At 36.4% G+C, this 13,004-nt stretch overlaps 1 protein-coding gene across 6 annotated transcripts in view, besides 2 other annotated features; it reads left to right on the forward strand.

The window, feature by feature from the left end:
- The window catches only part of RSRC1 (arginine and serine rich coiled-coil 1), a 435,642-nt gene that overhangs the window by 44,982 nt on the left and 377,656 nt on the right, over window positions 1-13,004 (forward strand). The window lies entirely within an intron of this gene.
- Window positions 9,444-11,104: an enhancer, noted in NCBI's record as "VISTA enhancer hs636". NCBI's record gives its function as "enhancer in: forebrain[7/11] | limb[4/11]" and the evidence as "EXISTENCE:transgenic organism evidence [ECO:0001131][PMID:17130149]".
- Window positions 10,556-10,756: a silencer, noted in NCBI's record as "peak4878 fragment used in MPRA reporter construct". NCBI's record gives its function as "represses an SCP1 promoter by STARR-seq MPRAs in K562 erythroleukemia cells {active_cell/tissue: K562}" and the evidence as "EXISTENCE:reporter gene assay evidence [ECO:0000049][PMID:32103011]".

Raw genomic sequence — 13,004 nt, forward strand, 5'->3', positions numbered from 1 at the left:
TTCTTCCTCACAGTCACACATAAGGGTCTTGGAGTCAACTTCTTCCATACTCCTGTTAATTTTGCTATTTTGACTTCCTCCTGTGAATCAGAAATGTTCTTAATGGCATCTAGAATGGTGAATTTTTTCCAGAAGGTTTTCGATTTACTTTGCCCAGATTCATCAGAGAAGTCACTATCTATGGCAGCTATAGCCTTACAAAATGTATTTCTTAAATAGTAACACTTGAAAGTCAAAATTACTCCTTGATTCAGGGACTACAGAATGAATGTGGTGTTAGCAGACATGGAAACAATATTAATCTCCTTGTACATCTCCATCAGAGCTCTTGGGTGACTAGATACATTGTCAGTGAACTATATTTTATTTTATTTTATATTTTTAGACAGGGTCTCACTTTGTCACCCAGGCTCTAGGGCAGTGGCATGATCTCGGCTCCCTGCAGCCTCTACCTCTCAGGCTGAAGTGATCCCACCTCACCCTCTCAAGTAGGTGGGACTACAGGAATGCACCACCAAGCCTAGCTACTTTTTTTTTTTTTTTTGTATTTTTTGTAGAGATTGGGTTTCACCATGTTGCCCAAGCTGATCTCAAACTACTGAGCTCAAGCAGTCTGCCCACCTTGACCTCCCAAAGTGCTAGGATTACAGGCATGAGCCACCACACCCAGCCATTATTTTTAAAGGAATTATTTTTTCTGAGCAGTAGGTCTCAACAGTGAGCTTAAAACATTCAGCAAACCATGTTGTAAACTTACATGCTATCATCCAGGCTTTGTTGTTTTATTTATAGAGCACAGGCAGAGTAGATTTAGCATAATTCTTAAGAGCCCTAGGATTTTCAAAATGGGAAATGAGCATTGGCTTCCTTTTAAAGTCGCCAGGTGGGTTAACTCCTAATAAAAGAGTCTGCCTGTCCTTTGAAGCTTTGTAGCCAGGCATTGACTTCTCCTCTCTACCTATAAGACCCAGATGACACCTTCTTCCTATGGAGGCTGTTTTGTCTGCATTGAAAATCTGTTGTTTAGCATAGCCACCTTCATCAGTTATCTTAGCTGTATCTTCTGGATTACTTGCTGCAGGTCCTCTATCAGCACGTACTGCTTCACCTTGTACTTTAATGTTATGGAGATGAGTTCTTTTCTTAAACCTCATGAACTAACCTCTGCTAGCTTCAAACTTTTCTTTTGTAGCTTTCTCACCTCTTTTAGCTTTTATAGAATTGAAGAGAATTAGGGTCTTGCTCTGGATTAGGCTTTCGCTCAAGGGAATGTTATGGCTGGTTTGATCTTCTATTCAGCCCACTCAGATTTTCTTGCTGTCAGTAATAAGGCTATTTCATTTTCTTATCATTTATGTGTTCACTGGAATAGTACTTTTAATATTTTTTGAGAACTTTTCCTTCGCATTAACAAGTTAGCTAACTTTTCAGTGCAAGAGGCCTAGCTCTTGGTCTTTTTTGGCTTTTGATATGCCTTCCTTGCAAAGCTTAATCATTTCTAGCTTTTGATTTAAAGTGAGAGATGTATGACTGTTCTTTTCACTTGAATACTTAGAGGCCATTGAAGGGTTATTAACTGGCCTAAATTTCAATATCGTTGTATTCCAGAGAATAGGGAGGCCCATAGGAGAGAAACAGAGATGGGAACAGTTGGTTGGGGGAGCACTCAGAACACACACATCTATTTAAGTTCACTGTCTTATATGGATGCAGTTCTTGGCAGCTGAAAATAATTAGAGTAGTAACACTGGGAATCACTGATCACAGATCACTATAACAGATACAATAATAATGAAAAAGTTTGAAGTATTGTGAGACTAACCAAAATGTAACACAGAGACACTAAGTGAGCACATGCTGTTGGAAAAGTGGCACTAATACACTTGTTTGACTCAGAGTTGCCACAAACCTTCAATTTGTAAAAGTCACAATATCTGCAAAGGGCAATAAAGCAGAGTAAAGTAAAAAGAGATATGCCTGTACGTTATTTAGCAAACAGCACTTTTAAAAAGGGTTAGATGTCTCTAGCTTTTCTCTGTTATTGTTGCAGCTTTATGAGGGATCCAGCAGAGTTGTAAAAGTGAAGAAATACTGGATAAACTGAAACTTTGTTAACATTGAATTAAAATAATAATAGTAACAATACATGCCAATGATTAATCTAGTACATACTAAGGGCCAGACATTAATAGAGAATGTTTAACATGTATTCTTTTTATTTAATCCTTACAGCAATTCAGTGGGATAGGTTTAGAATCATTATTTCCTGATGAGGAAACTGAGTCTTACAACTGTATCGAGGACTCACAGCAAACAGAGTGGAACTAGGATTTTTGAAGAGAAACGTAGGAATATCTGGCTCGAGCCCTCTTCTGAGATCATGATTCAGAGTTTGGGATTATGACAGTTAAATGTCTTTGGTGTTGGTAGAGTAATCCCTGCCTTTTCTGATCAGTCTTATCAGAGGGAGAACTGGATTGGATCAGAATAGATCTTTCTATTCAGAGACCCCGAGGTTCTGGCAAGGTCATAACTGCTCTGTAGATTGTCTTTCCCACTACTTGAGGAACAATGAAGAGCAAGTGCTGTAATCCCAGCACTTTGGGAGGCCAAGGCAGGCGGATCACCTGAGGTCGGGAGTTTGAGACCAGCCTGACCAACATGGAGAAACCCCATGTCTACTAAAAATACAAAATTAGCCGGGCATGGTGGCACATGCCTGTAATCCCAGCTACTCGGGAGGCTGAGGCAGGAGAATAGCTTGAACCCCGGAGGTGGAGGTTGTGATGATCTGAGATCACACCATTGCACCCCACCCTGGGCAACAATAGCAAAACTCTGTCTAAAAAAAAAAGAGCAAGTGACAGTCCCTTTTGGATTACTGTCGCTTTGGTTTTACTGATTTTTTTTAACTGTTACTATTTACACAAAAATAAGGCAAAAGCTTATCTTCTGACAGGCTCAAGCAAGCTTCCAGAAATATTAATTTGTAGAATATTTATGAATAGTATGTTCAATTAATGAGTTTTGAAATATGTACAAACCTTGATAAAGTGCTATATGTAATCTTACTTTTGCTTTCCATGTAGCAGTTAACTAATACTTGGTGCATAAATCTACAGCTGTGCCTTCAAACACAGTTGACTCTTGAACAACATGGGTTTGAGCTATGTGAGTTCACTTACAACAGTTTTTTTTCAAACATGGATGGAAAACACAGTATATGGAGGGCTGACTTCGTATATGTAGATGTGTCAGGGCTGACTGTGGGACTTGAGTATGTGCGGATTTGGTCATGCACTGGCGGTTGTGGAACTATTACTGTGTGTATACTGAGGGATATTATAATTATATATTTTTAAAAATCATATTCTATTTTAAACATTTCTAACAAGTTTATCTAAGACAGCGAACTATCTGCATTTCTTCTGCCACAATTTTTTTCTCTCTTGGAGTAGTCCACATGAAATTGTCTTTTCCCCCACCTTCACTATGGGGTAGCAAAACTCTGGAAATGAGAAACAAACATGGATGAGAATTTCTCAGAGCCTTAGAGTGTTTTTTGTCTCTTTAGAAATAGGAGTGTTGGCTGGGCATAGTGGCTCATGCCTGTAATCCCAGCACTTTGGGAGGCTGAGGCAGGTGGATCACTTGAGGTCAGGAGTTTGAGACTAGCCTGGCCAACATGGTGAAACCCCATCTCCACTAAAAATACAAAAATTGCCAGGCCTGGTGGCCTGTGCCTGTAATCTCAGCTACTCGGGAGGCTGAGGCAAGAGAATTACTTGAACCTGGGAGGTAGAGGTTGCAGTAAGCCGTGATCGTACCACTGCACTCCAGCCTTGGCAACAGAGTGAGACTCTGTCTCAAAAAAAAAAAAAAAAAGAAATAGTGTTTTTCCTCACAAAAAATAGCCTCAAAAGCCTTTCAAGTGATGCTGTCTTTTCTACTTTTTGTTCTTATTTCCCAACCAAGAATGTTGAGTATAGAGGAGTAACTGCCCAGAGACCCTCTCTTGTCCAGTAAGGAACAGTGTAGTTTGGCTGGCCTGGCCTGAGATTCTAGGATGTGAAGCTAGTGTTCAGAGACTGACTGTCTTAAGTTAGAGTGATACAAAGGAAGGATTCATGTGGGGTAAAAGTTCACAACCAGTCACCAGTTCTAGATTAGTGGTTGAGATGTGCTGCAAAACTATGAAAGTAAGGAGTAGCCACTGAGGCAAATTGGAAGTGTCCTAGAGAATTCCAGAACAGAATGTGATGGCCATTCACCAAAGGGACTTTTGAAATAAGAGTCATCAGAAGAATATGAAAACCAAAAAGATGATTATAGGAATATTATTAGTATAGCCCTTTATACTTTACAAAATATGCTTTCACATGCATTTTTTGTTTGCTCCTTTGTTTGCATAACTTTGTGGGAGTTATGATTTATCCCCATTTCATAGATAAAGAAGACAAATGACAGTATCACATTCAAGCCCTGAAAACCCAATTAGGTTGCATTTTGGGTGTTTTGCAGGGAGATGAGTAGTAGAACTCAAATGAAAATAACATTTTGTAGATAGAAGGGAGTAGAAATAGAGCCACTGCATTTGAGAGTGTTTTGAATAGAAAAGCTTACATAGAGCTCACTAAATGATTATTTCATCACTCCATAGTTCTTTAACTTTTTTTGATGAGGGCTTTAAAAATTTTGAGCCTCACCTCAGTCTATTAAAAAAAATTACTGATGAGATCATTATTTGACTTACGAGCTACTAGTCATTTTTCAGTCATGATTTTGTTTGTGCCCAAGCATTTAAAAGTAATATCACATAGCTTCAGTTATCTTTGCTTAATGCCATGTATGTGGGTGTGTGCGTGTGTGTGAGTGTTTGATCGCTTCAGTCCTATGAAGCTTTTATCTCTCTATTGCAAACTGTGGTAATGAATGCACTGATAAAAACAACTGGTGTTTAAATGTATCTACTCACACTACATTTGATGGGGTCTCCATTTTGTTTATTTGTGAGTATGAATGAGAAGGCAAAATCTGCCTTGGGAATTTTATAATGAATATGAGAGAGATCCTGCCACAGGTAGTTATTAAAACATCCCCTGAAGTCTTTTAAGATGAATGATTGTGTCTGTGTCTCTGACCTTTCCTGAAGGCGCTGTTTTTTAAAGAAATCTTCAATGCCCCAAGCCATTCACTTATTAAAAATTTTAAAATAAATTTCTACTACTAAGTTTTAATTTGTATAGTACATCTTCTGAATAACTCAAATGATTTTATAAGTATTATTTGATGAATCTACCCCTTTCTTCCAAAATGGAGAAAATGTATATTGATGTCTTAGCTATTTGCTACCTTTTTTGAGGAAGGGGTGGAATACATATAGAGAAATGTGGGAAGGAAAAGATAGGGGAATTGTGCCTATTAAACAAGCAGAATTCTGTTTTTCCTGTAGAAAAATAAATTGTCATGAAAATTCAAGATTTATACCAGGAAGGAGAAAAGTGATTAGTAAGATCCGAGAGAAAGGGAAGGGCTCTTTTCTGATATAAAAATAACTACTCTAAAACTACTTTAATGGGTGTTTACTTTGAAGTTTAGTTTAAAAAAGTGGGATTACTTATTTGCATGTAGTAAACATTTTGTGATGGTGTGTTGGAAATTTTCTTAAATAGCTTGACTTCAAGAAGAAAAATAAAATTGAAGTTAAAGTTTTTTTTAGCATCTACTCTATGCTAGGAATTGTGGAATTATGTTATCATCCTAGGTTACTTTATTTGATTGTCAGCATCACCTTAACTTTCTAAGTCTGTATATTACCTTCATTTAACAGATGAAGAAACAGACTTACAGAGGTCAAATAATTTGCTCTTACTTATATGGCTAGAGCTGGGAATTCACACTACTTCTGCTTTCAAACAGTTGTTCTTGTGCTTATTCACTGTTGTTCACTAGGTTTACTCTTTTTTTCCCCCTTGGCAGAGCAGGAAGACTAACTAGTTCCAGAGCCTGAATACCCTCTAGTGCTAATGTCTTTATATTAGTCAGCTATTGACACAATAATGCTGCATAGTAAACCATTTCAAAACTCAGTGGCACACACAAAAAGTATTTATTGCTCACAGAGACATCTGTGAGTCAGCTGGGCCTCTTCTGATCTATGCTGGGCTCCTTGGGTTTGTCTCCAAGTTGGGTGTTGAGATCAGCTCTGTTCCTGTCTCTTTCATCCTCCTTGGATCAGCCCCTACTCAAAACAGGTTTTTCTTAGACAAAAGGAAAACAAGCCCAACTTCCTAAGCAAATGTAAGTCCTCTGCTAAATGTCACTTCTGCCAACATTTCATTGGCCAAAGCAAATCATGGGTCTAAGCTCAAAGTCAAGGGCAAGGAAGAATACTAATTTTAAATGTGTGGGGCAGGTGCTGTGGCTCACGCCTGTAATCCCAGCACTTTGGGAGGCTGAGGCAGGTGGATCGTTTGAGGTCAGGAGTTTGAGACCAGCCTGGCCAACATGGTGAAACTCCATCTCTACTAAAAATGAAAAAATTAGCTGGCAGTAACGGCACAAGCCTGTAATCCCAGGTACTTGGGAGGCTGAGGCAGGAGAATCGCTTGAACCTGGGAGGCAGAGGTTATGGTGAACTGAGATCACGCCACTGCACTCCAGTCTGGGTGACAAAGTGAGACCATGTCTCAAAAATACATACATACATACATAAAATAAAATGTGTGGCTACAAACAGAAACATGCCTGAAAGATGATTAATTCATGAATCAAAGATCTCATCAATTAAAAGGCAAGGGGGGGCTCAAAATTTTTAAAAGCTCTTATCAAAAGTGGTTTAAGAAAACAGAAGTGAAGCAAATCGTATCACTGCACTCCAGCTTGGGTGACGGAGTGAGACCCCATCTCAACAAAGAAAAGAAAAATATAATGTAATGTATTTGTGTGTTTAGCTACGTGGTAGGGAGTAATGAAATAACCATTTACTGAGCTCTGCCTATGGTGGGAGTGGGAGAAATGACTTTATCTGAATAATAGAAACTGCCAAAATCTTGATGGATCTTATAAAGAAAATACAACTGATAAACAGCTTTCTTTTTTGTTTAATGTTTTGGGTGGCTTCTCAAAATACTCTAAGTAAATCATGTCTGTGAAAGATACTGTTTAGATTTTTATATCTTAAATACCTGGAGACTAAATGACATCAACTGACGCTGTACTGAGCTCTGGAAGTCTTTTCAAAGAATATACTTTTTTAGTCGGGCCTACTGGTATATACTTTCCATCTTTTTCAATAACTGGGGGAGGAAAGAGCATGTTAATGGTATCTAATGGTTTCCTTTTTTTTGGTCATTAGTATCTGTAATGATAAAGAATTAATATAACATTCAATGGAGTAGTTAGGATAATCACCATTTTTACTTAGACCTCAATTTAAATCCTAATCAAATTGGGAGGGGTGTTAACTCTGTAAATTCATTAACTTGGTTTATTAAAATCTAAGCCTTTGCATTGCTTACTTTTTTCAGATATTATTACCTGTAAGGAACCATTGCTTCTAGCTCATTTATATGGATAAGAATATTGATACAGGGCCTGGAGGAAATTTGTTTTGACCAAAAAGAGAACATATTCTGAGGGGCTGATATCAGCGTTATTGTTTTGCTATTAGTCAGGTAATTATAGAAAGCTTTGTTGTATTACTGAAGATGTTCATTGACTTTGTTTCTTTAGATTGGATTGTGGGGAGGAGTAGGGCAGTAAAAAGGAAGAGAGTGGAAAAGTTAAGTATTCTAAAATTTGAACTCTTCAGGAGAAACAGAAATGATATTCGTTAACTCTTCCAGGTAAAAAGGAAGAATAATTTCTAATCTTTTGGATATTGTGTTATTTTGTTATCACTTGCTCTCCTTTCCCTTTCCTCTTGAAATAATTTTTTGTTTCTTTTTTGAGATGGAATCTCATCCTGCACCCCTAGGCTGGAGTACAGTGGCGTGATCTCAGGTCACTGTAACCTTCATCTCATGGGTTCGAGTGATTCTCATGCCTCAGCCTCCCTAGTAGCTGGGATTACAGGCACCGCCAGCATAGCTGGCTAATTTTTATATTTTTAGTAGAGATGGGGTTTCACCATGTTGGCCAGGCTGGTCTCAAACTCCTGGCTTCAAGTGATCCTCCTGCCTCCTCTGCCTCCCAAAATGCTGGCATTACTGGGGTGAGCCACCTCATGTGGCCTGAAATAATATTTTTAAAGACTGATAGTGAGTTAATGTTTTGTGGTGAGAATTTAATGATTCCCATTTTGAAGTTGCTGTAGACATTTTAGGGTGTTACAAAGCCAAGACTTGAAGATTACTGCTCTGGGCTACTAAGTCAGGTGTCATTGAAGAGGTTGAAATTTAGAAGATAGGTACAGCAAAACTACTGTTCTCATAGATCTATTTATATTCATGTCTCTCTGAATTACGTACTTTTTTTGTTATAACAGTACAGCTTGGTACCTGTGTTGTGTTTGGTTCAGCATTCCAAAGATGGATGGGTGAAGATGTTTTCTTTCAAGGATCTTTTGGATATAGTAGGACATTTACACTCTGAGTGTCAAGGAGTACATCATACACATCCATATTATAATAATTGATAATTATGGCCAAAATCAATCTGTTTCTACCTTTGCTACCCTTTATAGCAATTTTTTTTTTTTTAATGTTAGCAAGAGTGTTGTACTTTAAAAGGATTAGACTCAACTTCATTATGTCAGAGCTGGTGCTTGTCTTACTCAGCACTGTATTCCCAGCACCGTGAAAAGTAAATAGAACGTAGAAGAATAAATGAATGAATGAATGAATGTTGCTATAAAAGATATGAGATCTTCCCTTACTATAAGTCTTCATCTGTACTTCTAACAAATTTTATTGAATCTGTCTCTATAATCAGAAATTTAAATGTGGGAACACAAGCCACAGTGTTTTCTGTAAAGTATATTTTAAAAGTCTAGTCTAGAAAAATTTATCCTCAAAATTTTACTTATAAATTCTCTGTGAAGAAACTTTCTTCTCTGAATTTTGCCTGTTGAATGCACATATATTTGTTTTAATTCATAAATGAAACTTCTATAGGCTTATCTTACATGGAAAAAGACAAGGAGGGAAGATTAATGAGCAAACGCAAATTACAGAGAAGCAGGAGACATCTATCATATGTCGAACTATAGCTTTATTATTAACTGCCAGGATTATTACACTGATAACTGTTCTTTTTTTTTTAAAACAAGATTTTACTTGATTTTCCAAATAAATTGTTTTTGTTATTCATATAAAATTAAATTTGATTTTTTAAATATTAAGAATACTTTTTGTGCTTCCAAACTATGTATACACTTATTTAAACATCTACAAAATTATAAAAATATTTATGATTACAAAAAGAATGATTTTATATTGTATTTTAGCTTTTAAATTATAGCCAGTGTTTTTTTTCTTTGTTTAAGTGCTGTATACTTTGTGGCGCAGAATTATATTTCTGTTTTTAAAAAGCATGTAGGTAGCTATGCTTATAAAATGATGTGAAATATTGGTGATCCCAGGATATGTGTAAGTTTTCTCTTTGATGGCTGACAATTTACATTGAGAAATTGTTTTATAGTGGCAGTTTAGCTAGGTAACTGAATATAAATTTAAATGCATTTGTTTTAATAGCATATTTTATCTTGTCTTGTTTTCTAATTGAAGAGAAGGGGCCAAAGCTAAGTTTGTATAGAATTTAAATTCACTTGGATATAGTACTTAAGCATATTAGTCAATATTTATAAAAAAAGATAGATGCACTAAAGTTCTCCTATTAAGGTTTTAAGATTATTGATTGGAAAAGAGTTGGAAAATATCTTTTTGTCCCTGTTTCTCCCTATATAGCCTTCTTGAAGTTTCTCCAAATTAGATTTTAAATGCCAATTAGGAGGTTGAGTATACTAAAATAAAAGCAAATGCAACCAAAATGGCCTCACCTTATGGCTAGTTAGGGTTTTGAGAGAATAAGCGGAACCTTTGCTCTGAGCATGGCTTTGAGAAAGATATTCATCTTAATGAACACATTAATTAGAACCATAACTATTTATAAGATAATTAGAAATGAAGCTTGGTAAACTGAGCTTTTCCTGCAATTAATGGAGGATTAATTACTGGAGGTAATGAAGTGGATTTTTAAATGCATTAAGGTGAAGTACAGAGATGAGCAAGGCTTTGTGATAGTTGCATAATTATTTCAGGCTGTTTGAGCATAGCTCATATGAGATCGTTAATAAGCATCATTGCATCGTTATGTATGCACTTAAAAAGACTTACCACCAAAATGACTGCCTAATTATTTCTAATTGGCAGGACTCTGTGTAGTCATTGAGCTGTTTGTAGCCATTTTAAGGTTCATTTAACTATCCTTGGGGCCATGTGATAGATGGAAAAAGCTTCAACTACATGCTGGCCTTGGCTGGCGCCGTTAATCAATTTTGGTGGGCTTCAGCTTAAATGCATTTTCTTGTGCAGAGGTCAAAACCTGAAGTAGTCCAAGCGAAGTTTTGCTTTTTGAAGCCACTTGACTGTATTCATTAGCAATTAGTAAAATAATTGTGTCTGTCACTATATTTGGATTTCCATATGACTTGGTATTCTTTTATCACTGTCTCTTCTTATTCCATATTTGCTCCACTGGAAACAAAATATTCTTCCAACAAACCCTTTTAGCAACTTCAGTGTAGTGGCATATGTTTCCATATACTACCTTTCTTCATTCATTTATTAGCTTAAACAGTGTAGTACATTTCAACACAATCATCTAATTTGCTCCTGATTGATTGCTGGTGAAAGTTTCTACTCAAGGACAACATTTTAGGGCTTTTAAGGACATCTCTAAGGAATTAGTCATTAAGCATTAAGAGAGGAAGTAAGAAGTAGTCAAATCCAATTCTGACATTTACCAGAGTTTTGTAGTTAGAAGCATCTATATCTAAGATGTTGAAAGCTATACATATTTTTTGCACCTATCCCCACAAGGACACATGATAACAGGCAAATTGTGTGACGGGGATAAGCTGGGTAATGTCTACATTTACTTTTAAAAGTTTCTTAAATAAGTATATTAGTAATGTAGTGCTTTTATCGAAATAATTTAGAAATCTTTGAATGTCAATTTTAAATAGTGTGTCATTCTTTATAATATAATTGATATAAAGTTTTTTAATCATATGATATCAGATTTAATGTGACATCCCATTAGCTAAGCATCTGTAAAGGTTTTCAATGAGCTTGTTGTCTTGTTACACGTAATCATAACCATGTGTGGGAGGTTGTCAAGATATATATGCCATTAGAAAGGTTTAAGAAAACAGAGGTGAAGCAAATTGTAGGCTAATAAAATAACGGTCAATTATGCCCTTTTGTTATGAAAAATGTGGTTCTAATCATTTCCTTAATGTTAATGCTTAAGGTTAAAATTATTTATGCAGAATATTTTAAGGTATTGCCAACTTTATTGAAACTAGATGTGTGTATTTAGTTCCCTTAACAAGTTCATTATTCAAGAATTTGGAGGCTTAAATGTGAATCAGGCAATGCATATTTCTTAGGAACTGACTTAATTACTGTGGACTTTAGTCTATTGTTTCAGTATTTAGAAACAAATGGATTGAACTGTTTAATCTCTCAAATCAATCAACTTGTTCTCTGCTAGAATTATGAACTTCCTTTTGCTTTTTGTTAATACCTTTTGAATATTTTGAACACATATTTTAAGAGAAAGAGGAAACGTGAAACTAATACATAGATTGCTTGTTTACAATAAGTACCCGAACTTCTACAAACTTAGATTGTATCTTAATAGAATTTTTTTTGTCTTTGGCTATTGGGAAATGCTCATCTTGTTTTTATAGCTTAGAATAAAAGAAAAATAACAACTTAGTGGTTAGGATAGAATTCCCTTTTTTTTGTAGTCAGAATTATACATTCTGTACATCTATCAAGTTGTCACAATTGTTTTATCCTTTGAGGCTGTAAATTGGATTTTAAATTTTAGATTTTGGATTAGGGTCTGTTTTATTTTTGTGGTGGTATATTTTCTTCTCTCTCTCTTTTTTTCTTTTCTTTTTTGAAGTGGGGTCTCACTCTGTCACCCAAGGTGCAGTGCAGTAGTACGATCTCGGCTCACTGCAACCTCTGCCTCTCAGGCTCTAGGGATTCTCCCACCTCAGCTTCCTGAGTAGCTGGGACCACAGGCACATGCACACCACCACACAGAGCTAATTTTTGTGTATTTTGTAGAAACAGAGTTTCACCATGTTGCCTAGGCTGGTCTCAAACTCCTGGGCTCAAGTGATCCACCCGCCTTGGCCTTCCAAAGGGCTGGGATTACAGGCGTGAACCACTGTGCCCAGGTATGTTTTCTAAATCTAGCTTTAGGTGGTTATTTTAGGGAATTGCAGTTGTGAGGCACTTATTGCTAAACTTAAATGGGCAAAATGTTAATATTTCACTCAAGTAAATCCTTTTTATGTTTCATAAGTTTGTGCAGAAAGTATGAAAATGTTGTTAGAAAATGGGACAGTGTTCTAGAAAAATGGGGCAGTATTTTAATGTTATTTTGTTGGCTTTCATCTGTATATTTAACTACACTGGTAAATAATTAGATATATTAATATGTGCTAGTTATAACTAGAAGGAAAATGTTACTCTAGGATTCCTGTGTACTTCAGTTTCTTCAAGCATATGGACATAACCAAGACAGCCATGCACATTGGGGCTTGGCTTCACTTGCTGTTTTTTGGATCTGTGGTACAACTACGTCAGGAACCTCTGGTTAGCCTCTTTGAAGGTAAGAAACTAGGGAGCAAAGGCGAGACATTCTAGCCAAGTTCCCTAAAAGCTGTCAGTCTACCTACCATCAGACTTGTGAGTGAGGGAGGGTATCGTAGACCTGGGTTTAGCAAAGTCAGATTAACTGTTTTATGCCTGTTTTTGTAA

This window comes from Homo sapiens, chromosome 3 (genome assembly GCF_000001405.40).
Source record: "Homo sapiens chromosome 3, GRCh38.p14 Primary Assembly".
Classification (NCBI taxonomy): Eukaryota; Metazoa; Chordata; class Mammalia; order Primates; family Hominidae; genus Homo; species Homo sapiens.